The 26,004-nt window shown below is 34.3% G+C and overlaps 1 protein-coding gene across 9 annotated transcripts in view; it reads right to left on the bottom strand.

Moving 5' to 3' along the window:
* COL11A1 (collagen type XI alpha 1 chain) overlaps nt 1-26,004 on the bottom strand; it is a 232,050-nt gene that overhangs the window by 34,774 nt on the left and 171,272 nt on the right. For all 9 annotated transcript variants that reach the window (NR_134980.2, NM_001190709.2, NM_080629.3 and 6 more), the window contains 10 exons: nt 23,814-23,867; nt 23,203-23,310; nt 12,090-12,143; nt 10,272-10,325; nt 9,065-9,118; nt 4,385-4,438; nt 3,458-3,565; nt 3,106-3,159; nt 2,391-2,444; nt 913-966 (listed from right to left, as the gene is read on the bottom strand). Coding sequence is in view for 8 of the 9 variants with exons in the window: in NM_001190709.2 (NP_001177638.1) it covers nt 913-966; nt 2,391-2,444; nt 3,106-3,159; nt 3,458-3,565; nt 4,385-4,438; nt 9,065-9,118; nt 10,272-10,325; nt 12,090-12,143; nt 23,203-23,310; nt 23,814-23,867 (648 nt within the window). In the remaining variant the exon portion in view is untranslated. The remainder of the gene's footprint in view (nt 1-912; nt 967-2,390; nt 2,445-3,105; nt 3,160-3,457; nt 3,566-4,384; nt 4,439-9,064; nt 9,119-10,271; nt 10,326-12,089; nt 12,144-23,202; nt 23,311-23,813; nt 23,868-26,004) is intronic.

The raw sequence follows: 26,004 nt of genomic DNA on the forward strand, positions 1-26,004 counted from the left end.
GAAAGAGAAATGTTTGTAAATATTGATTCAAATTTGTATTGCTGAGAGACAAGTAAAACCCATTCACATTCTATGTTTAATGTGAGGATATTCAGTGTGAAAAATACCCCTGAAATAAAGATACCATTAGAAAACAGTAGTGGCCCCAATTGCCCTGTGACTTTGGATTACTGAAGAGGGAATCAGCCTCATAAATATATTTTGATGTTTATCACATATTTTACTCATGTGCCGGTTTGAAAATAGACTGCAGGTGGTACAGAAGAACACGCTAAAGTGAGATAGCTGCTGTAAGAGGCAGGTCTGCAGAGATTGCTTTATTATGAAAAGAATGCATCAGTGAGAAAAGGACAGGAAAGTAAATCTCCTAGGGTCTACTGTGGCCAATATTGTCAGCAATACCTATTTATTTATATTTTGCTATAGCACATCATTAAAATACTGTTTCCGAGCCAGAGAAGTTTGACAGTGTAAAGCAATTTAACATTATATACTGATTCCTGAGCTCATTTCACCTCATTTCATTGATGCATTCATGTTTTTACAATGTTTTAAGCTAGCACTGGACTTTTGACAGCTCATCCCCATGTATTACAATAGGAGTTAATGTTCAGGATACCACCAAAGTCTTTTATAATAATCTACTACATTTGTACAAAGGGGAGTTCTAAGCACAGAGGAGTGGAAAGCTCTTTAAGTAGAAGTTGTTTTTCTCATTTTTATTGTGACAGTGAAATAGTTAGAATATGTTCTATTTTAGTTATTATTTGGCACATTTAAAAATTGTTTTTAGGATTTATGATATTTCTCATTATTCTTATAACATGCTGCCTGCAGCTTACACACATTATATAAATTTATCCATGGTGACTAATGAGCATATGTTTCAAATAAAGAATTAAAGAAACTTACTCGTTTTCCAGGAGGACCTGGTGGGCCAGCCTCACCAGATGGGCCAGGAGGACCCTATAAAATGTGAAAAAATACCTTTAACAAAATTGGATATTATTTTGTGGCCCACATAAATTTTCAAAATCTGGATGGAAACCAACCCTCTTTCTTCATTTCCACATGTCAATATTTCCTGGAAAATCTCAGCCCTATTTCAGATACCTAAACTTCCTCTAGATATTTATAGTTAGAGCTGGTAAATTTAGATGGTAAAATTATTTATAGTTAGAACAAAGTGAATCAAATTCTCTTTATTTAAAACTGTGTCCTATTAAAAAGTGCTAATTTATATCTGGCAAGCATTAAACAGGCATGCTAATTAATATAATCATATGGTTAATAATTCTGCTCATATCACATAAATATGTGAAAACATAATACTATTACTTTTAAATTTATTTTTGTACAACACTAACATTCTATGCCAAGTTGTATATAACATACTGATATGGTTTGGCTGTGTCCCTACCCAAATCTCATCTTGAATTGTAGTTCCTATAATCCCCATGTATCCTGAGAGGGACCCAGTGGGAGGTAATTGAGTGATGGGGGTGGTTACTCACATTCTGTTCTTGTGATAGTGAGTGAGTTCTCACGAGATCTGATGGTTTAATAAGTGGCTTTTCACCCTTCACTTTGCACTCCTCTCTCCTACTGCCATGTGAAGAAAGACATGCTTGCTTCGCCTTCCACCATATTGTAAGTTTCCTGAGGCCTTCCCAGCCATGCAGAATTGTGAGTCAATTAAACCTCTTTCCATTATAAATTACCCATTCTTGTGTACCTCACAGCAGTATGAGAATGGACTAATACACATGCTGAGATATGATCCACAGGTCTGTCTATGCAGAATAAGCCTGTATCTGTGATAGCAAAGCATCTAGTGGGAATGGCCCCAGAGACAAAATTGTGTTGAGGGACCATTGTCTTTGGCTCCTAAAGTGAGTTCCCTCCCTTACTTTCTCCCTAAATAACTAAATGTGGTCAAAGTACACTCCTGTATCATTCACAAGTTTTTTTTAAAAAGGCCTATACTATGTTGAGAGTTCATTTAGGTTCACAATTAATATAATTCATGCTAATGATGGGATAATAACTTTTGCTAATGATAGGAAATAACTTTGCTTTTAGTATTATTAGTGATTTTAATTTTTTAACACAATGGATAGATAACTGAATTTGATATATTGTGACAACCTTATTAGTATAATATGATTACACTTTTCATTATAAATACTGTTTATTAATTTACATCAAATAAGAAACACTCCATGTAAGATTGATTTTTAATGGGAATTCAAAAATTTTTTTGATAATTCTTTCAAAAAAGTGCATATACATAGAGCTATGTTTTTCAAAGGCTGATTACTTCTAATTATCTCATTAAAATGCCTTGAGACTATGTAAAAACTTAAAAATAAATTAGTGCATTTACTCACCGGTTGACCAGGATCTCCATCTTCACCCTTGTCACCACCAACACCATCTTGACCCTATAAGAGGCAATAAAATATGAAGCAAGATATATCTCAGTATCAATAAATCACACTACTTATCAGGAAAAAAGTATGTTAGGCCATCTCTTGAGAAAAATTATCAGATGGACAAGTAAAATCATTATATTCTTTTAACCTTTTTTAAAAAGATTGTGGTACCTCTCACTCTCCGCAAAAAAATTTGTAAAACTGCTACTATTAATATATCAAATTTAAAATCCAGCATGCTCTTTATATAAGGAAGAAAGAAGATGTCATTAGTATACAATGTCAGTGAATCATTTCACCATGAACAAATATGGTATAGTTTGAAATAGGATTTGCATTATAGAAGAGAAACAGAAAAGCAAAGATCCTGTAACTTTGAAATAATAATAATGATGCTACTCAGATAACTTGTTTTTACAACCCATCAAAGTCTAGGAATCTAATCCAATTGTTGTACCTATGTTGCATGAAGAGCTTAATCACTTAGTGTTGGTGCAATAGTCTCCAACTATATGGATTTTCCTGCATTTGCAATTACTTTTTATGTTTTCTTTTTCTTTCTGTTTTTGGGAGTTCACTTAGGTTATTAGATTTTTTTTTCTTTATTAACAATACAGAAATTGGAAACATTCACTCCAAAATAATTTCTTGATTTTTCCCTGATACTTACTGCAGGGCCAGGTTCCCCAGGAGGACCAGGATCTCCAGGAAAACCAACAGGACCCTAGAATGACGTTTTGAAAGAAAAAGAAATAAATGAAAAATAAATTTTTATAAAATTATGACATTCTGGAGGTGAAGAGGTTAAAGTCATGACAAAACCTGCTGAGAATATTTCTCTTCTCCCGCCAAAAAATTTCTAAAGAATTAATTCAATTGAGAATGCTTACGAATATATGAAATGATGAAAAGTCAGATTTACCATCTATGTTCCAGAGTCTCAGGATTTCAAATCTTTCTAAGAAAAGCTCCAAGGTGAGTTTGGCATAAATGCCACATTAGAGGGGACCAAACTCACTTACCGGGTTACCCTTAGGGCCATCATCACCTGGTGGCCCCTTGGCACCTGGAGGTCCAGCAGCTCCAGGTGGACCAGCTTCCCCTTTCTCTCCTCTTTCTCCTTTGGGACCCTAAACAATGTTAAAAAAAAAAAAAGAAGAAGAAGGAAAGAAGAGTTATCTTACAAGTTTTGCATAAAAGTTTATTAACCTTGGCACACTGGGCCAGAATATATTTTTTTTTTAGACGGAATATCACTTTGTCACCAAGTTGGAGTGTAGTGGCACAATCTCAGCTCACTGCAACCTCTGCCTCCCAGGTTCAAGCGATTCTCCTGCCTCAGCCTCCCAAGTAGCTGGGACTACAGGCACGCGCCACCAGGCCCGGCTAATTTTTGTACTTTTTAGTAGAGACGGGGTTTTACCACGTTGGGCCAGACAATTTTTGCTGTGGGGAGCTGTTCTCTGCCCTTTAAGAAGTCCAATGGTATCCCTGGCCTTTACTAACTGGATACCAACCCTCCACGTTTGAAGACCAAAAGTGTCTCCAGATATTGTCAAATATTTCCTGGTGGGCAAATTTAATCGCGTTTTAAACTAATTAGAATAATATAGTCACAATACAATTGACACGTTTATTTAAGGCAGCAGGACTTCTTTGTTTGTTCCTTTTATGGACAGTTCATCAAAGGGAATGTATACAGTAAACAGCCCATAGTTTTAATGTTCTAACTTCAGCAAATATGATATTTTTTCAATTTGTTTATCAATCCACATATGTAAAGATATCCAAAGTTATTAAACAAGGCTTTGTATTTGTGATTTTCCTTAATGAGTTGGGAAGGGAAAGTAAAATTCGAACCACAGCTAAGAGTTGTTACATGTTTGTAATGCTGTAAAAGAAATTCCCAAACCAATAATACACTATGTTAACAATAACACAGTACTTACGCCTACACCTGCTTCCCCAGGAGGCCCTGGGTTCCCTGCTTCTCCAGGTTCACCCTATATAGAGAAGATCAAATTAGTATTAGAATACAGAGATGATCTTTTACATTTATAAAATTCAAATGTTATCATATCATTTTAGATTAGCCCTTATTTTTTTATATTATTTAAAAGGCATTGAAAAACTTTAATAACAAAAATAAATTTTTCTATCAGTGACTCCAGTGCTTTTATTTCTCAGGTGAGTAGACAGAAATATGCAGGCTTGATGCTGTAGTTGTCACTGGTTGGTTAATAGTTGGCATATTAATCCAGATTACCACAAAACCATCATAACAGACATATGCATGTTTCCTAAAATATTGTGTATTTGCACTGTGTCAATATTCATATTACAATAAAGTTTATTGAGTGAACACTTTCAAATTGTTGTTTGCTAAAATGTAAATTTATTTATCTTAACTACAACAAATCAACAGATGACTTGCTGGTACATATGTTGATATTTTATAGGATTTGTTTAGTAGGAATCTAAAGAACTTAGAGGAAAGACAATAATTATAATATATGTAAAGGTACTTAGACGTTAATTAAAATTGCTCCATTTGAGTATACACATAAATGTGATAGCCTTTATTATCTCCCTGTTTACATATGAATGGCTTTTTTTCTAGCCCAGTGGACTAATAAATAAATCTCTGTAACTAGTAGGGTTTAGCTATGAAAGTCTGTTGCTAATGCCCCACAATTCAAAATGCACAAAAATATAACATCTTGTTCAAGTAATCATTTAAGTAAAACAATACATTCATTTACCATGTTTCCACTCAAAATCAGTCACACTAGTGGTCTCAGCAATTGTGAGGTGGAAATTGTTCTTTTAAATTGAAAAAGAAGTGAGGCCTAAATTTCCCTTACTTTTTAACTCTAATATTTCCAATATTCCTGACACAAATCCACTGCTCTTAAATAAATGTGTCATATTACATACAAACATAATTTCAGGGCAGAGACTATTTTGTGTACATAGTTTCTTACTGTGAGAATACACAAATATTTTAAATTCTTAAATTACCCACTTAATGGTGGAGACATCAAGTACTTTTCCAGAGTTTATTATAAGTAGTGTGATGTGTAAATTATTTCATCTCTCAAGATGAACAGCAAATACTTCCAGAATTTTTGGATAACTCTTACAAAAAAAAATTGCATTTATATTATTTATAAAGAGAGGTATCATTCATCTCAGTAGAATGTAATGATGTTAGTGATGTTTCCAAGGGCTGATATTCATATCTTAAAAATGAAACAAGTAGTTTGGCATTGAAATCAATTGTAAAATGTCCATGTTAAAATATTTATTTAGAAATATGATAAGTCTATTGAGCATGTACATTGAACATGCCATTTTTCATATAATTAGAAAAAAAACCTAAAATTCACAGGAAACCAAAAAAAGAGTCTTATTGCCAAAGCAATCTTAAGCAAAAAGAACAAAACTGGAGGCATCACACTACCTGACTTCAAATTCAACTACAAGGCTGTAGTAACTAAAAAAGCATATTTACAGCAAACTAATCTTTGACAAAGTTGACAAAAACAAAAAGGAAAAGATCCTCTTTTCAATAAATGGTGCTGAGAAATCTGATTTGCCTTAAGCAGAAGAATTAAACTAGACTCCTATCTCTTACCATATACAAAAATCAACTCAAGAAGGATTCAAGAATTTAAACATAAGACCTGAAACTATAAAAATACTAAAAGAAAACATAGGGAAAACTCTTCTGGACATTGGTCTAGGCAAATAATTCATGACTAAGACCTCAAAAGCACAGGCAAAAGAAACCCCCAACTAGACAAATGAGATTTAATTAAACTAAAAAGCTTCTGCACAGCAAAAGAAATAACCAAAATGTTTTCTTATGTACCACATTAATTCATGGTAACATCACAGAAAGTTAGAAATGCAGAAGAAATAGTTGAAATATTTCGTAGTAACCCTCTATATGTTTTGTTGTTCTCTTTTCGTTCTTATCAACTATAAAGTTAAATTTATGGATATTGTGAAAAGATTATTTTCTTTTTATTAAATGAGTGAAATGATATGTGGTAAAAAGATAGGTTTAAATAATCTTAGAATTTATGTATGTGCTTTCTAATGATAAATGCTTGAGGTGATAAAAAATTTAAAATATATTCTGCTTCAAAAAAAGTATGAGCTTTTTACTACAAAGTTTCATTTTTAGAATAATATATTAATATTCATTTGTCCAAAATATATGAAAACTACCATTTAGTATGTTAGATCCAAGTGTGCACAATGTAAAATGACAATTAGCTAAAATGAAATTTAAAATTTATCTAAAATGTTTCATTTAAAAGAAAGGTGGGACAAAATCACAAATCAATAAATCATTGCAACAAGACTAATGTTATATAAATTAAGTCTATATTTCTAATACCAAAATGCTACAAACTATTCATTCTGAAGAATAATAATTAATATGTTTTATGATAGAGCACTGATATATGAAGGAGATGTTAGATTATGAAGTCTTCATCACTTATCGTGTAACTATTTACCTCATTATATAAAGCACTTGTTTAGGTACATATTTTTTCAGAAAGAACAACAAATTACTCTGTATGTACAAAGTTATAAAATATGTATAAATCTTAAGAAAATATCCTGACATATTTCCAAGTATTGACAAAATTAGTGAAGTGCAAAAGTTATTTATAGCAATTTTACAGTACATGAAGAACAGGTTAAATATATTTAGACAAAATGCAATGTGACTAAAAGATACTGGTTTTTTTATTCTTCATTGTCAGTGACTGGAAATAAATTTTCCAATTAGAAATGGGTATACATTCAGCCAGAATCAAAGCTGATGTTAGAAATTTGTAATCTATTAGAAATTATACTATTCTTGATTAAAAAACATCAACAACAACAAAAAACAAACAAACAAACAAAAAAATGAAGGTTAGAATTCTGCTTCTATCGTGCTGTCACATAAAAAAAAATCAAAAGAAAGGAGCAAAATTAAAACTGTGTTTTTTAGTGTAACTCATTTTGACTGGGATTGATTCAAAATGATTCAGATTGACTGAATTATTCTCATAAGAGTCAAAGTTGGCAAAGTGTTACTATAATATACATAGGCTTTAAATTAAATGGAAACAATGTGGAAGGAAGTTTCTCAGAACTAAACACCTGGCATTCATGCCTATTTTCAAGAGTAGCACTGAAATAATGACAACTTTCCCTCTGCATTCAAATTCTTTAGGAAACAAGATAAGCCGATAAAAGCTAATAATCCTAGAGACTAGCTCCCACAACAATTGAGTCAGCATTAGAGCCAAAAGGAGATGATGCAAAGAGAAGAGGAAAAGGTGTGTGCCTTGGTGCCTTTTGTCTAATCTGATGATATCCTCAGAGACAAGTGCTCTCCCATAGGAGACTAAGCAAGATGAAAAATGTTTTCTAGGACAACTGAATGGAATGAAAAGTGTGTTTTCAGTTTCAACACCAACTACTGGAACAGTTTCAACACACAACTTTAAATTTAAGAATATATTAAAAAAGGCAGTCAATCAAAGAATGCAGTAAGATTTATCTAATGAGTTAAAAATTATCTTAATCAAATAATGATTATAATCAAAATACTAGAATACAGGTGTCAAGCTGAAGTAGATATCAAAATATAATAACAATCTAATCTTATTACATTTTTCTGAGAATTAAATGCTTTAATTAAAAGAAATAAATTTAAATATAATATAAAATACACAAAAAACTTGAGACCAAGAAAGGAAATCATTTTTAAGAATAGAGTAAGTCTACACTGCAGATATCCTTTAACAAGTAGCATATTAAGGAATTTTTTAGTGTTTTCACTGCATAATATATGATGTTATAAATATAATTCTTCCCTTTCTGAAAATTGGTAGTTTATTTTTTAAAGCACGCAAATATCCATGATAATTTTCTTGAAAATTCTATTAAGAAGTGAGCATGAATGCATAAATAAGAAATCAATGAATCATTTTGACATTTTTATAAAAGGAAGAGCAGACCTTTAAATGAAATCATGTTCACAAGAAAAAAAAAGCTATTCTGAGCCCAGATATTGTGGTTCATGCCAAATATTTTGACAAGTGACAAGGATAGGTCAGAGTATTCGTAATGAAAATATAACTCAAAATATAACAAAATGAATGATTCATTCCTTTGTGGCTTGCAGGATTCCTTTTTCCCTTTAAGTCAGTTACATCAACCAATCTCTTCTATTTTGAGTACTATTACTAGACATTCATGGACTGCAGTGTATCCTAGCTTAGTCACTTTCTAAGGAAAATCTTTGATGAAATTACAGGAATCCTCTAGGGCTCAGCTTTCTCAGCTTATAAATGTGGATATTAAGGACACCGTAATTGTGAGGTTCCTGCTTAAAGAACATAATGCCTGCACTCATTCAATATAATAATTGGCAACCAAAACACAATATTGCAAAATCATTTTAACTTTAATTTTTGCAACTACTAGATGACATGTGAATCATATAACTATGTAAAAGGCTTAGAAACACACATACTAGAAGCACTTAAACTACTACCCAATATTATTACAGTTCTTAATTCATGCTGTTTCAAACTGTGTGTCACTAACATATTTACCTTTTCTCCAACACCACCAACTGAACCAACAGACCCTGGGGGTCCTTGTGGTCCCTGCAGTGTAGAAAAAGGAATGTAATTATCCATATTCTTATTAAAATAATGCATTCGTAAACATATGTCTAGTTGTTCTCAAAAAAGAGAAATAGATGCATGAGTATTCTTAGTCATTTAAAGAATGAGACTAAATGATGCTTAATAGAATTGTCAAATGTGTTGGAAAGCAAATAATTCAATATATTACACTGATTTTCAAATTCACTATAATTTTGAAGATAAAGCAGGAGACTTTCAAACTCTGGTTGATTCCTGAAACATAATTTCAATCTCTTTGCCAATAGAATAGTCAGATTGGTTTTAGGCGGTGATTTTGTAGTGAATCAAAATTATGACACTGGTTAAGAATTACATAATCCACGCAAGAAACAAACCCCTTATAACATCTTTTAGCTTTTAAATTACCTAAGAAGAATGAAAATCTAAAAACTCTTTTAATTCCTCTCTTTCTAGTCTATTTTTACTCAGTTCTGGCCTGCCAGAATTAAAGCAGATATTAAATAATGAAGAAAATGAAGACCAGAGACATGAAGGAAACATAGACTTCTTCATTGTGAAAAGTTGGCCAGAAGGAAAAATATCATCAAAGCCATGGATCCATTAATGGTAACAGTAAGATAAATATGGCATTATATTTCAAAATCTTATAACATTAAAATAATTTTTAAGCTTGGAGAATATCATCTTTATACAATTAAGAGAAAACATTTTACATGATAAAGGGTGCACCTATCACGCACATATTGCTGTAACATTATATAGTCTGAAAATACAAAATGCAAAGCTTTTACATGAAAGCCACTGTTAACAAGTGCATAAGAGTTATCATATGCAAGGCACAGTCTAAGTATGTTGGTTTGAACAATGTAGTAATTTTAATATACACAACATTATAACATTTCTCAGTCACCAGTAAATATCTATTGAATGGAAAATGTGTACCTATGTTACATTTTCCATGATTTGTTCACTATAAATTCCATTTATTTCATTGTATAATAAAGTGGAGTGAATAGGTGACCCTTGAGTTCTTAACCACTTAATATTAAACAATAGTTTAATATTGTTATAACTCACAAAGAGCATCTGCTATAAAATAACAATACCTATATAACTTCAAAATAATTAACATATATTTCAGAGTTCTTACATCAGCTCCATTGGGACCTTGAGGGCCTCTTGGGCCTGGAGGACCAGGTGGCCCCTGTAAGAGAGAAATATTGAGGTTTACAAAGACCAAATTCAAATGTGTTTCCAACATTTTCATTTTATGACTGAAAAATCTAAAAGAAGTTTAAGCTTGTAAAAACTATAGTTAGTGAAGCACATCAGGGTTATAAGTCATCCTTCATGGATACAACATCATGTTAGCAAATGAGCCTTTACACATAGCTATGAGGAAATTAGGATTTCAAGAGAAACAATTTGATTAGAAAATGGGCCAAGAAAGCCTATTGCTACTGTCTGGTATAATGTGTTCACAATATAACTAGATATATTTCATGCTAGAATATGTTACAACATAAAGAGAATGTAAAGTTGGAAAAATAAATGGTGCTTGAATAGAATTAGAATTCATTAACTCAATAGAAGTATTTTTTGTTGATAGGTATTTTTAGCTTTTTCTATGTCAACTCTTAGGTTCTATATGCTAGAATTAGAAATAAGAATAATTATTTAATTTCATTGTAAAACAAAGATTTTCTCTCCTGACAGTGCAGTAAAATTAACTTGGAAAACTTTTTATAAAATACTGATGCCAGAAACTCCTATCTCAAAGTTGTGATTAAAATAGTCTACAGCGAATTTGTTTTTCACTGTACATTAGTACATTTCACTGGACATTAGTATTTTTAAAAGATCTCAGTTTATTCTAATGCCATGGTTGAAAAGCTTTTCTGTTATTATCTACTACCGTGTAATCAGGAAGAATATATCAATGATTCATGGAACGATGGTAACCATATCTGGAAAGGAACTTGCTATGTATCTGTTACTGCTTGGAAGTATTAACCAGTTATTTGAATCAGAAAAGTGGTTTTTTTCTGAGACGGAGTCTTGCTCTGTCGCCCAGGCTGGAGTGCAGTGGCGCGATCTCGGCTCACTGCAAGCTCCGCCTCCTGGGTTCACGCCATTCTTCTGTCTCAGCCTCCCGAGTAGCTGGGACTACAGGCACACGCCACCATGCCCGGCTAATTTTGTTTTGTATTTTTAGTAGAGACGGGGTTTCACCGTGTTAGCCAGGATGGTCTCGATCTCCTGACATCGTGATCCGCCCGCCTCGGCCTCCCAAAGTGCTGGGATTACAGGCGTGAGCCACCGCTCCCGGCCAGCAAAGTTTTTTATGCATTTCTTATATCTAGGTTTATTAATGATGATATGGATCATTTCAAAGAATATAATAGATTTGAGTGTAATTCCTAAGGAGAATAAAACCTAACAGACAAGTGTTAAAATTTCAAAATGTGTATTTTGAAGGAAGTGAAAATTGGGGGCAATGTTGAAGGAAAGGGCCACTTAAGACATGCAGTCATCACATTTCATTATGGATTTCAATTACCTTTGCTAATTATTTTCTTATCTAAGGTAGTGCTTCATAAACAATTATATGCATTTCAAATTTTCAGTTCAGGTCTTAGAGAGCCAGAATCAATAAATGCAAATAATTATAAGTCATAGCATTCTAATTAAGACAGAATTATTAAATTAAGAATTTGTTTCAAAGTAGTTAATTTTTGATTCTGTATAAATTGCTAATTATCTAAATCTTGAGTGAATATTACCTATTCTCTACCTGCTCCAAATCAAAATCCAGAGCTAAAGACTAATATATAACTAAATCATGTCAGTTGCTTATATACACCTCAATAATATATACATAGTAATGAAAGAACACATAATACTTTACAAACCAGTGACTGCCATGCATATAACACATACCCATCAAACACCAAAAATAAAAACTTACCATGGGACCAACATCCCCATTTTCACCTTTTTCACCAGGTGGGCCTGGCAGACCCTAAGAAAATATAATAGAAAAATAATAAAAGTCACTGATGTCTTTAAAAAAAAAAGTTTGGTCAATTTCTAAGATAAAATCAAGTATAAAGTTCAATAAGTACATGGAAATTAAGATTCAGATACTAACATTTGTTAAAATACCTACTATGCAAATGTTGACCACATGTGATAAAATCTTACACCTACATTTACAAATAAAATTTATGTTTTGTATAATATTATATTGTTTATTTTTAGTTATAATAACTAAATATTAATTTGATCTGGGAATTTATGAACACCCAACCATTTGCTCAGTCCCGTACAAATAATATATAGAACTTCCCTGGTACAGATTTCTGGAATCTTTTGACTCAAAATATTTTAGTATATGAGGTTTTTATAGTTAGGTACCAGTCTGGTAAAATAAATATTCCAATACATTTCAAAGGTTATAAATATCTTCTGAATTTTTGACCTGTTAATTCAATTTCTGAATCTTACAAATCAATGAGCCCATGAAACCTACTATATTATACTTTTAAAAATTCTTTCAGGCCGGGCGCAGTGGCTCACGGCTGTAATCCCAGCACTTTGGGAGGCTGAGGCGGGCGGATCACGAGGTCAGGAGATCGAGACCATCCTGGCTAACACCGGTGAAACCCCGTCTCAACTAAAAATACAAAAAAAAAAAAAAAAAATTAGCCGGGCGTGGTGGCAGGCGACTGTAGTCACAGCTACTCGGGAGGCTGAGGCAGGAGAATGGTGTGAACTCCGGAGGTGGAGCTTGCAGTGAACCAAGATCGTGCCACTGCACTCCAACCTGGGTGACAGAGCAAGACTCCGTCTCCAAAAGACAAAAAAATTCTTTCAAATCTATTTCCATTGTATTCAATTGCACTGTAACTGATATTTAGGAAAAGCTCTGTGTTACAGTATAAAGGAAGACAGAAAGATTGCACTCAAATTTCATCTGTCTATGTCTTCACCGAAAAATTATTTTAGTTCTTGACTACTTATTTGATCTTCCCAAAAATTATTCCATGAAGATTATTATTTCCTCTTTCATGTCACAACAATACTTTGTACATACTTCAATTGTACATTTATAAATTTTCTTATGTCACTTTTGTGTATATTTACAGTCATGAACTACTCTGGGGCATGCATTCATCAGTGATCTTTTAGGTGTTAACTGTTTAGGAACTAGCAGAGGAGCAATCAAAAATTAAAATGTTTGTTGAATGAATGAACTCTAAGAAAATAAACTAATAAGGATAGCTACATTCAATAAAATGTTTCTTGCTAACAGTAGCTATGATACTGAAAATCCTGTCATTCCAAAAGTTTAATCTTAGAAAAAAGAACTAAAGAAATTCAGTTACATAAAGTAGTGGAATGTTATGTGACTATTAATGTGATACTAATACTCTAAACATGAATAATATATACAACAAATAAAAAATACAAATGAATATGCATAAGTTTAACTGTAAAATATGTAGGTAGAATAGGTATGCTAATTATCAGACAAATAGCAAACATAGTAATCGTTTCTAATATTGTAGGATTATGGATTTTTTTCAGTTTTTCATGTTTTTAGTGTATAATTATTTATATATTAATACATCTTATATATGCTATACATAATTAATTTTTAATGTTTGCATAATATTTTAGATGTAATCTATTTTAGACATAAAAATACAATGTAAAAGCTCTAAATAACTGCTAGTACTTTCGTGACATTACTGACTTCTTGACACTGCACTGTAATTGCTGAATATTATTTGACTGTGAGCCACTGTGAAAAATGTATTTTACTTAATGCTCCCTAACCATGCGCATGTAAAGTAGCTGAAACATGAGTTTCAAAAAAGCAGTACTTAGCCTTTTGCATAGATGATAGCCTTTGATATTTTCATTCTATTTTACCTTATCATGTTCTATTTCATTTTTTCAATGCTGGTAATGATCCACAAAATTTTTTTATAACCTACTATATCCACATGACTTTCAGTTTGTAAAGAAGGAACTTTACTGAATATATTTATATATTTGTTTAATTGTGGCATATATTCATTTTTATGAGGAAATCTTAGTTACTAATTTGTAACAAAAAATATGTACCAGAATTTCATTTTTTTCTCAAATGTCAGTAAGATGTCTAAGAAAAGAGACTGCTATATATACTTCCCAAACTGTTACCATCATCTGATGACTGTTTCTAGAATTATAAGTGAAGTTTCTGGAAGAAAAAGACAGGTAGTATTTCTCAGATCTTATAGACCTAAAAATTGTAGGTGACTGCAAAAAATTTTAGGTTCTAAATCAGTCAATTTCAGAAATTCAAAATCTGAATTTGATGAAACACATAAACTTAAATTCTTAAACATGCATGTATATTTTAACACAGTTTAAATAAATATTTCACTTTAACACCATTTTCTTAAATAGCATACACTGCAACTTAAACATAATTAAGTTTCCAAAAACACCATAAATTTAAAATTACATTCCTTATTTTTTGTCCAGGTTTTCACACCCTTTTAGGATAGAGTGCATCTAATTTAGTATCCCCAAATTAAAAGGTATGTCAATATTAATTCACAGTTTTTTTATTACAAACCCAGTTGTGCATTTTCATCTTTTTTATGCATATAATTATTCCAATTAGTTCAATAAAAATATCCCAATAGAAAAAAATTTATTTATTTTTAATTCAGTTAGATCATAGTTTGTATTGATTAAGACAAAAAATTATTATTATTACAATTAGTGGAGACACAATGAGTCAAAATCTCTTGTTGCATGGAACTAAACACTCTGAAAAGCACTCTAGGGTTAATCCATTCTCATGAAATGTCCTACCTTTCTCCAAAGAGGTAATTTATGCGTGGAGAGATTCTGTTTTAAGGTCTGTCAATTTAAAATCATTGCCACTTAAATGATGAGTTGAAAAATGAAGTTAGGCCAAGAATGCACACTCTCTCTCACTCCATATATGTGTGTGTGTGTATATATCCTTCATATGCAGATGACAGTAAACATCAAATTGAAAAATCAAGACATGTAACCTGAATATTAGATTATTTTATTTATGTCTATTATAATTGCTAATATCTATTCTGCCATGAAGACTCAATTAAAGGAGGCAGATGCAATTGTGAACATGTTAATTACATTAGCATCATTCAGTTTCCTGATTTACAGAAGTAGCTGTGGGAAAATGCAATCACTTTTTTAAATGAATTGATTTCTTGAGTCACCCTCATCAAAGAGCACATTTCTTCGTGAAAATGAAGATGATGTTTATTGAATATTTTATAAACATAATCTACAAGACACCTACTTTAATCATGAGAACTGTTTCTAAATTACAGTTTTATAGGATTCAGAGTAGTCAAATAAAAAAAAGAAAATGAATATTAATGTACCCATTGACAATCTAATTTTAATGCCTTGTTTTCAAATATGTATGCTTCACACACATATTGATATGTGGTACTTATGACTGTTTACGTATAATTGTCTAACAAGTATAACCTAAACATGACAAATATGAAAGTGAAGTTTTTGCACTCTCCAAGTTTAAAAAGAATTATTTTGACCTTAAAATGAGATAAATAAAAAATCTTGTTATCTGATAAACATTTATTAAGTGTTTTAACAGTAATAATTCATTATATTGTGTTCATGATGCAATTTGTGTAATTATGCACATAAGATATTTAATATCAACACAGTAATTTTATAATCATATTTATAAAAATAAAGATACAAATTTTTTATATAAATTCAATTTACATAGGCTTTTCTACAAGTTCACAAATTTCTAGGTTCAGTGAACTAGATGACTTAATTTACCATTTCTAATACAAATAATATACCATAAGTTACCCTCATGTGGGACCTCAATATCATTTAAGACAAAATGCTATAATCTTTCCGTGGATCACTAGGAAGAGACAGAATAAGCAAGTGGAAGAAAAAAGCTCAACGTTTCCAAGGTTTATAGGAAGCAGTGAACATCAAGCGGAAGGTAAAAAAACAAGCCAGAATACGGCCAGGCGCAGTGGCTCACGCCTGTAATCCCAGCACTTTGGGAGGCTGAGGTGGGCGGATCACGAGGTCAGGAGATCGAGACCATCCTGGCTAACACGGTGAAACCCCGTCTCCGGAGAATGGCATGAACCTGGGAAGCGGAGCTTGCAGTGAGCCGAGAGCAGGCCACTGCACTGCAGCCTGGGTGACAGCGTGAGACGCCGTCTCAAAAAAACAAAAAAAAAACCAAAAACCCAGAATAGAAGGTATCTGTTCTGGAACATGTTGTTTAAGAGTCCAATTGTAAGATATATTTGAACAGAGGCTGTAGTGTTCTACAATTTAATATTTATTTTCCTGGATATGTTTCATAAAATTCAAATTACAATTTTAAAATGATAATAATCGATCTTAAATGATCGACTTAATTTATTTTACCTATTATTGTTTAACATGTGCTGTTGGCAGTTGCTTTTGGCAGGATCCCATTTCTCAAAATGCTTTCAATTTTTTTAGCCATCTTGAAAGTAAAGAGTCATAGGTCGAGTTTCTCCGGGGAAAGGAAGCGAAAGTGTCTCCAGATCCGCCCCTGTCTGCCTGGGACTTCGTGTTCCTCCTATTGCTATCAATCTGAAGTACTAACTTATCTTGTTATGAGTCCTATGAGAGGACCCTTCTAATATCTTACTTTTTTTTTTATTATACTTTAAGTTTTAGGGTACATGTGCACATTGTGCAGGTTAGTTACATATGTATACATGTGCAATGCTGGTGTGCTGCACCCACTAACTCGTCATCTAGCATTAGGTATATCTCCCAATGCTATCCCTCCCCTCTCCCCCCACCCCACCACAGTCCCCAGAGTGTGATATTCCCCTTCCTGTGTCCATGTGATCTCATTGTTCAATTCCCACCTATGAGTGAGAATATGCGGTGTTTGGTTTTTTGTTCTTGCGATAGTTTACTGAGAATGATGATTTCCAATTTCATCCATGTCCCTACAAAGGACATGAACTCATCATTTTTTATGGCTGCATAGTATTTCATGGTGTATATGTGCCACATTTTATTAATCCAGTCTATCATTGTTGGACATTTGGGTTGGTTCCAAGTCTTTGCTGTTGTCAATAGTGCTACAATAAACATACGTGTGCATGTACAGCAGCATGATTTCTAATCCTTTGCATATATACCCAGTAATGGGATAGCTGGGTCAAATGGTATTTCTAGTTCTAGATCCCTGAGGAATCGCCACACTGACTTCGACAATGGTTGAACTAGTGTACAGTCCCACCAACAGTGTAAAAGTGTTCCTATTTCTCCACATCCTCTCCAGCACCTGTTGTTTCCTGACTTTTTAATGATTGCCATTCTAACTGGTGTGAGATGGTATCTCATTGTGGTTTTGATTTGCATTTCTCTGATGGCCAGTGATGATGAGCATTTTTTCATGTGTTTTTTGGCTGCATAGATGTCTTCTTTTGAGAAGTGTCTGTTCATGTCCTTTGCCCACTTTTTGATGGGGTTGTTTTTTTCTTGTAAATTTGTTTGAGTTCATTGTAGATTCTGGATATTAGCCCTTTGTCAGATGAGTAGGTTGTGAAAATTTTCTCCCATTTTGTAGGTTGCCTGTTCACTCTGACGGTAGTTTATTTTGCTGTGCAGAAGCTCTTTAGTTTAATTAGATCCCATTTGTCAATTTTGGCTTTTGTTGCCATTGCTTTTGGTGTTTTAGACATGAAGTCCTTGCCCATGCCTATGTCCTGAATGGTAATGCCTAGGTTTTCTCCTAGGGTTTTTATGGTTTTAGGTCTAACGTTTAAGTCTTTAATCCATCTTGAATTGATTTTTGTATAAGGTGTAAGGAAGGGATCCATTTTCAGCTTTCTACATATGGCTAGCCAGTTCTCCCAGCACCATTTATTAAATAGGGAATCCTTTCCCCATTGTTTGTTTTTCTCAGGTTTGTCAAAGAACAGATAGTTGTAGATATGCGGCATTATTTCTGAGGGCTCTGTTCTGTTCCATTGATCTATATCTCTGTTTTGGTACCAGTACCATGCTGTTTTGGTTACTGTAGCCTTGTAGTATAGTTTGAAGTCAGGTAGTGTAATGCCTCCAGCTTTGTTTTTTTGGCTTAGGATTGACTTGGCAATGCGGGCTCTTTTTTGGTTCCATATGAACTTTAAAGTAGTTTTTTCCAATTCTGTGAAGAAAGGCATTGGTAGCTTGATGGGGATGGCATTGAATCTGTAAATTACCTTGGGCAGTATGGCCATTTTCATGATATTGATTCTTCCTACCCATTTGCATGGAATGTTCTTCCATTTGTTTGTATCCTCTTTTATTTCATTGAGCAGTGGTTTGTATTTCTCCTTGAAGAGGACCTTCACATCCTTGTAAGTTGGATTCCTAGGTATTTTATTCTCTTTGAAGCAATTGTGAATGGGAGTTCACTCATAATTTGGCTCTCTGTTTGTCTGTTGTTGGTGCATAAGAATGCTTGTGATTTTAGTACATTGATTTTGTATCCTGAGACTTTGCTAAAGTTGCTTATCAGCTTAAGGAGATTTTGGGCTGAGACAATGGGGTTTTCTAGATATACAATCATGTCATCTGCAAACAGGGACAATTTGACTTCCTCTTTTCCTAATTGAATACCCTTTATTTCCTTCTCCTGCCTAACTGCCCTGGCCAGAACTTTCAACACTATGTTGAATAGGAGTGGTGAGAGAAGGCATCCCTGTCTTGTGCCCGTTTTCAAAGGGAATACTTCCAGTTTTTGCCCATTCAGTATGATATTGGCTGTGGGTTTGTCATAGATAGCTCTTATTATTTTGAAATACGTCCCATCAATACCTAATTTATTGAGAGTTTTTAGCATGAATGGTTGTTGAATTTTGTCAAAGGCTTTTTCTGCATCTATTGAGATAATCATGTGGTTTTTGTCTTTGGCTCTGTTTATATGCTGGATTACATTTATTGATTTGCGTATATTGAACCAGCCTTGCATCCCAGGGATGAAGCCCACTTCATCATGGTGGATAAGCTTTTTGATGTGCTGCTGGATTCATTTTGCCAGTATTTTATTGAGGATTTTTGCATCAATGTTCATCAAGGATATTGGTCTAAAATTCTCTTTTTTGGTTGTGTCTCTGCCCGGCTTTAGTATCAGAATGATGCTGGCCTCATAAAATGAATTAGGGAGGATTCCCTCTTTTTCTGTTGATTGGAATAGTTTCAGAAGGAATGGTACCAGTTCCTCCTTGTACCTCTGGTAGAATTCGGCTGTGAATCCATCTGGTCCTGCACTCTTTTTGGTTGGTAAGCTATTGATTATTGCCACAATTTCAGATCCTGTTATTGGTCTATTCAGAGATTCAACTTCTTCCTGGTTTAGTCTTGGGAGAGTGTATGTGTCAAGGAATTTATCCATTTCTTCTAGATTTTCTAGTTTATTTGCGTAGAGGTGTTTGCAGTATTCTCTGATGGTAGTTTGTATTTCTGTGGGATCGGTGGTGATATCCCCTTTATCATTTTTTATTGCGTCTATTTGATTCTTCTCTCTTTTTTTCTTTATTAGTCTTGCTAGGGGTCTATCAATTTTGTTGATCCTTTCAAAAAACCAGCTCCTGGATTCATTAATTTTTTGAAGGGTTTTTTGTGTCTCTATTTCCTTCAGTTCTGCTCTGATTTTAGTTATTTCTTGCCTTCTGCTAGCTTTTGAATGTGTTTGCTCTTGCTTTTCTAGTTCTTTTAATTGTGATGTTAGGGTGTCAATTTTGGATCTTTCCTGCTTTCTCTTGTGGGCATTTAGTGCTATAAATTTCCCTCTACCCACTGCTTTGAATGCGTCCCAGAGATTCTGGTATATTGTGTCTTTGTTCTCATTGGTTTCAAAGAACATCTTTATTTCTGCCTTCATTTTGTTATGTACCCAGTAGTCATTCAGGAGCAGGTTGTTCAGTTTCCATGTAGTTGAGCGGTTTTGAGTGAGATTCTTAATCCTGAGTTCTAGTTTGATTGCACTGTGGTCTGAGAGATAGTTTGTTATAATCTCTCTTCTTATACATTTGCTGAGGAGAGCTTTACTTCCAAGTATGTGGTCAATTTTGGAATAGGTGTTTTGTGGTGCTGAAAAAAATGTATATTCTGTTGATTTGGGGTAGAGAGTTCTGTAGATGTCTATTAGGTCCACTTGGTGCAGAGCTGAGTTCAATTCCTGGGTATCCTTGTTGACTTTCTGTCTCGTTGATCTGTCTAATGTTGACAGTGGGGTGTTAAAGTCTCCCATTATTAATGTGTGGGAGTTAAGTCTCTTTGTAGGTCACTCAGGACTTGCTTTATGAATCTTGGTGCTCCTGTATTGGGTGCATATATATTTAGGATAGTTAGCTCTTCTTGTTGAATTGATCCCTTTAGCATTATGTAATGGCCTTCTTTGTCTCTTTTGATCTTTGTTGGTTTAAAGTCTGTTTTATCAGAGACTAGGATTGCAAGCCCTGCCTTTTTTTGTTTTCCATTTGCTTGGTAGATCTTCCTCCATCCTTTTATTTTGAGCCTATGTGTGTCTCTGCACGTGAGATGGGTTTCCTGAATACAGCACACTGATGGGTCTTGACTCTTTATCCAATTTGCCAGTCTGTGTCTTTTAATTGGAGCATTTAGTCCATTTACATTTAAAGTTAATATTGTTATGTGTGAATTTGATCCTGTCATTATGATGTTAGCTGGTTATTTTGCTCGTTAGTTGATGCACTTTCTTCCTAGTCTCGATGGTCTTTACATTTTGGCCTGATTTTGCAGTGGCTGGTGCCGGTTGTTCCTTTCCATGTTTAGCACTGCCTTCAGGAGCTCTTTTAGGGCAGGCCTGGTGGTGACAAAATCTCTCAGCATTTGCTTGTCTGTAAAGGATTTTATTTCTCCTTCACTTATGAAGGTTAGTTTGGCTGGATATGAAGTTCTGGGTTGAAAATTCTTTTCTTTAAGATGTTGAATATTGGCCCCCACTCTCTTCTGGCTTGTAGGGCTTCTGCCGAGAGATCCGCTGTTAGTCTGATGGGCTTCCCTTTGAGGGTAACCCGACCTTTCTCTCTGGCTGCCCTTAACATTTTTTCCTTCATTTCAACTTTGGTGAATCTGACAATTATGTGTCTTGGAGTTGTTCTTCTCGTGGAGTGTCTTTGTGGCATTCTCTGTATTTCCTGAATCTGAACATTGGCCTGCCTTGCTAGATTGGGGAAGTTCTCCTGGATAATATCCTGCAGAGTGTTTTCCAACTTGGTTCCATTCTCCCTATCACTTTCAGGTACACCAATCAGACGTAGATTTGGTCTTTTCACATAGTCCCATATTTCTTGGAGGCTTTGCTCATTTCTTTTTATTCTTTTTTCTCTAAACTTCCCTTCTTGCTTCATTTCATTCATTTCATCTTCCCTCGCTGATACCCTTTCTTCCAGTTGATCGCATCGGCTCCTGAGGCTTCTGCATTCTTCACGTAGTTCTCGAGCCTTGGTTTTCAGCTCCATCAGCTCCTTTAAGCACTTCCCTGTATTGGTTATTCTAGTTATACCTTCTTCTAAATTTTTTTCAAAGTTTTCAACTTCTTTGCCTTTGGTTTGAATGTCCTCCCGTAGCTCAGAGTAATTTGATCGTCTGAAGCCTTCTTCTCTCAGCTCATCAAAGTCATTCTCCATCCAGCTTTGTTCCATTGCTGGTGAGGAACTGCGTTCCTTTGGAGGAGGAGAGGTGCTCTGCTTTTTAGAGTTTCCAGTTTTTCTGTTCTGTTTTTTCCCCATCTTTGTGGTTTTATCTACTTTTGGTCTTTGATGATGGTGATGTACAGATGGGTTTTTGGTGTGGATGTCCTTTCTGTTTGTTAGTTTTCCTTCTAACAGACAGGACCCTCAGCTACAGGTCTGTTGGAATACCCTGCCGTGTGAGGTGTCAGTGTGCCCCTGCTGGGGGGTGCCTCCCAGTTAGGCTGCTCGGGGGTCAGGGGTCAGGGACCCACTTGAGGAGGCAGTCTGCCTGTTCTCAGATCTCCAGCTGCGTGCTGGGAGAACCACTGCTCTCTTAAAAGCTTTCAGACAGGGACATTTAAGTCTGCAGAGGTTACTGTTGTCTTGTTTGTCAGTGCTCTGCCCCCCAGAGGTGGAGCCTACAGAGGCAGGCAGGCCTCCTTGAGCTGTGGTGGGCTCCACCCAGCTCGAGCTTCCTGGCTGCTTTGTTTACCTAAGCAAGCCTGGGCAATGGCGGGCGCCCCTCCCCCAGCCTCGCTGCCACCTTGCAGTTTGATCTCAGACTGCTGTGCTAGCAATCAGCGAGACTCCGTGGGCGTAGGACCCTCTGAGCCAGGTGCCGGATATAATCTCGTGGTGCGCCGTTTTTTAAGCCGGTCGGAAAAGTGCAGTATTCCGGTGGGAGTGACCCGATTTTCCAGGTGAGTCCGTCACCCCTTTCTTTGACTCAGAAAGGGAACTCCCTGACCCCTTTTGCTTCCCAAGTGAGGCAATGCCTGGCCCTGCTTCGGCTCGCACACGGTGCGCGCACCCACTGACCTGCGCCCACTGTCTGGCACTCCCTAGTGAGATGAACCCGGTACCTCAGATGAAAATGCAGAAATCACCTGTATTCTGCGTCGCTCACGCTGGGAGCTGTAGACTGGAGCTGTTCCTATTCGGCCATCTTGGCTCCTCCTATCTTACTTTTAAGTATCAGACTTAGGCAAGGTTGTAATTCATTTTCCAAACAAAATGGGAGTGAAGAAAGGAAGTGTAATAATTAAGGTGGGTCTAAAAATACTCCAGAATCAGGAGCGAGGGCTGATACATGTTCAGGAGAATTAATCATACATGATAAAATGATTTCAAGTTCAGCTGCTCATTTAAAAATAAAATGATCTTTATGGATAAACATTGTACCCAAGTTCTTACGTAGAAAAAAAGAAAAAAATACTTTGTTTTACATCCACCAGAAAACCTGGTGAGAAGTAGGTAGAAATGATGGAGTAAACAATGACAGGATCATCTTACCTGAAGACCTATTGGACCAGGAGGTCCAGGGAAGCCTCTGGCACCCTCATCACCTTTTTGCCCAAACATCCCCTGCTGTCCTCTAGGACCTGGTTCACCATCACCTCCCTAGAGAAGAGAAAGAAACATTATCACAAACTGGAAAAAATCATTACGATATGAGTCATTAAAAAATGTGGCCATTTCTAATTTAATCAAAGCAGATGTATTTAAGAATAACCAAGTAAAAAGTAGACTGAATGCCCATTATCTGCTCCAATATACTATTGTTTGTTTTGCTTATTTTCTTTGCTTCTGGATCATAACTGATTTTGATTTGATCCTGTATACCAAGTGAAGTAAAAGCTGTCTAATAACGGAAATAATTTTCTGAATTATTATCTATTAAGGAATTCTCAACAAATTATTACTTACTTTCAAATGAAGTTACAATATGTTTTGTTTCTAAGAATCAGCACGGCTAGCTATATTTGATAATTTAAATTTGATTTAATGTCAAACATACAAACAAAACTTATTACCCCACAAAATTGACTGGTTATGGGACAGTATACAAATTTAATCAGGGAGCTGTAAGGATTTAGATTTGCTGAACAATGTGGAATACTCACAGCAATTCCAGGGGCACCAACTGGTCCTTGAAGACCTGGGGGACCGGGAGGGCCCTGCAGTGAGATAAAAATAAGTAATTTTTAAAGTGAAGCCAGAAGAGCCTCAGCCATATGAAACAGAACATTTAGCCTACCAAGATCAAACACTTCTGCACTCCTTTGGAAAAAAAGAAGCATCACATAGAATTATTTTGCATTTACTGCAATCATTATTTATTTTACTCCTTGAGACTCAAGCTTTCACATTTGAAATCAATTTTAAGTTGACATTTGTTGAAAACACTCTCATTTGTAATGTTGTGAATCTTCAAGATAGATTTCTATGCTATCAGACATCAAGTTGTAAGATTCGCATTTGAAAATTTTCAAAGTATCAGATTTCTTTAATGAGATAAATATGATTAGGAAAGGGCCCATGAAAAAATTGTCTATATACTGTCTTCTGAGTGAATATCAGAATTCTGAGGGTTCTATACAGATAGAATGTAGTAATATATGAAAATTTGGAATTTTCACATATGCGTACACATGTAAACTAATTGTTATATATTAAGTACACCAGGACCTCTTATTTTGAGCAATAGTTTTCAAAAGACATTATGAGTCTTACATGCATAGATATTTCTTCATTGTCTCATTTTCTTACATTAGTAACGGGTCAGGCAATATAAAAGGTTCAGGCATTAAAGAAATAAAACTGTCATTGAACTGTATTGTTCTGTATTGTAACTACTACTTGTGGGGGAACTGTTAAAGCAAGATTTTGAAAAGCTGGTTCATGGGCCATTGGGAGTTCTTGATATGCTTTTAGGATTCTGCTAGTTCATAACTCTTCTCATAACAACAGTAAGGCATTTTTTGTCCTTTAACTATATAGACTTTTGCACTAATGATGTAAAATCCGTGGTGAATAAAGTTGCTGGTAACTTAGCGCTTATCATGTTGGTAGCTACCATTTGTAATAGCATTAATTGTATTTTACCACGATATACTTTCAATCAACACAAAAATGGCTGTTCCATCTAAGAATGTCATGGATGTAATTGTATTGATGAGGCTTTGAAAGTTATTAATATTATTAAATATTGACCTTGAATATGTGTCTTTTCATATTCATTTGACAAACTGAAGACATACATAAAGTATGTTTGCCTCATACTGAAGTACAGTGCTTGTCTCAAAAAAAAAAAAAAGCCCTACAAACATTTGGATTATAGTTTGAAATGCTGGCTGAACTTTTACATGGAACACTAACTTTTACATGGAACGCTATTTTTACTTGAAAGAGCGGCTGACAGAAAAACTATGATTTTTTAGTTATAAATAATAAATGTGATTATAAATAATCAGTTATAAATAATAAGTGTGATTATAAATAGTAAGTATGATTTTGGCAGATGTTATTCAATATAAAGGAAGCCTTGGATTTCAAAGAAAACAACTGACAGTATTTACTGTCAATAACGTTCAAACTTTAAAGCAAAAATTAGAATTTTGGAAATGTCTCATCTGCCATTGCAGGCTTTATATCTTCCCAATCTGAAAGTATTTTCCTATGATATTAATATCGCATAAAGAATTGTGTCAACACTTTGAGGACCTTACCCAGGAAATCAATAATTTCCAAATTATCAATGAAGGATATTACAAAATTATGTATGAAACATAGTCATCAACGTGCAAGATAGAGCAGTGGAATATAATGTAATAGCACAAAAAGCTCACTGTTTTTGTTTCAAATTCTGTTGTGCAATTGACCCTTAAGAAAAACTACCACTTATAAAATTTCTATGTAAAATCAAAGAATATTCAAAATTATCTGAAAAGGTACTGAAAATGCCCCTCCCTTTTATAACTACATAATTTATGTGAGCTTAGATTTTCTTCATGCTTTCAACCAAAAAAACATGTCACCACAGGCTGAACTAGATATGAGAATATAGCTTCTTCTATTAAGCTAGACAAAACAAATGTAACAATGGTACTCTTGGGACTATATATTTTTATTTGCAAAAATATAGCTAGTTTTTATTAAAAGTGCTTTGGGCTTATTATTCTTAATTATAAATAAATCAATACATAAATATTTTAAATATATCAGCTTTCATTCATATGATAGTAACCCACATAGACAAAAGCTTTTTGGGCTCCTAAAAACCTTTCCGAGTATGCAAGGGTCCTAAGGCAAAAA

Source organism: Homo sapiens, chromosome 1 (assembly GCF_000001405.40).
Source record: "Homo sapiens chromosome 1, GRCh38.p14 Primary Assembly".
Lineage (NCBI taxonomy): Eukaryota > Metazoa > Chordata > Mammalia > Primates > Hominidae > Homo > Homo sapiens.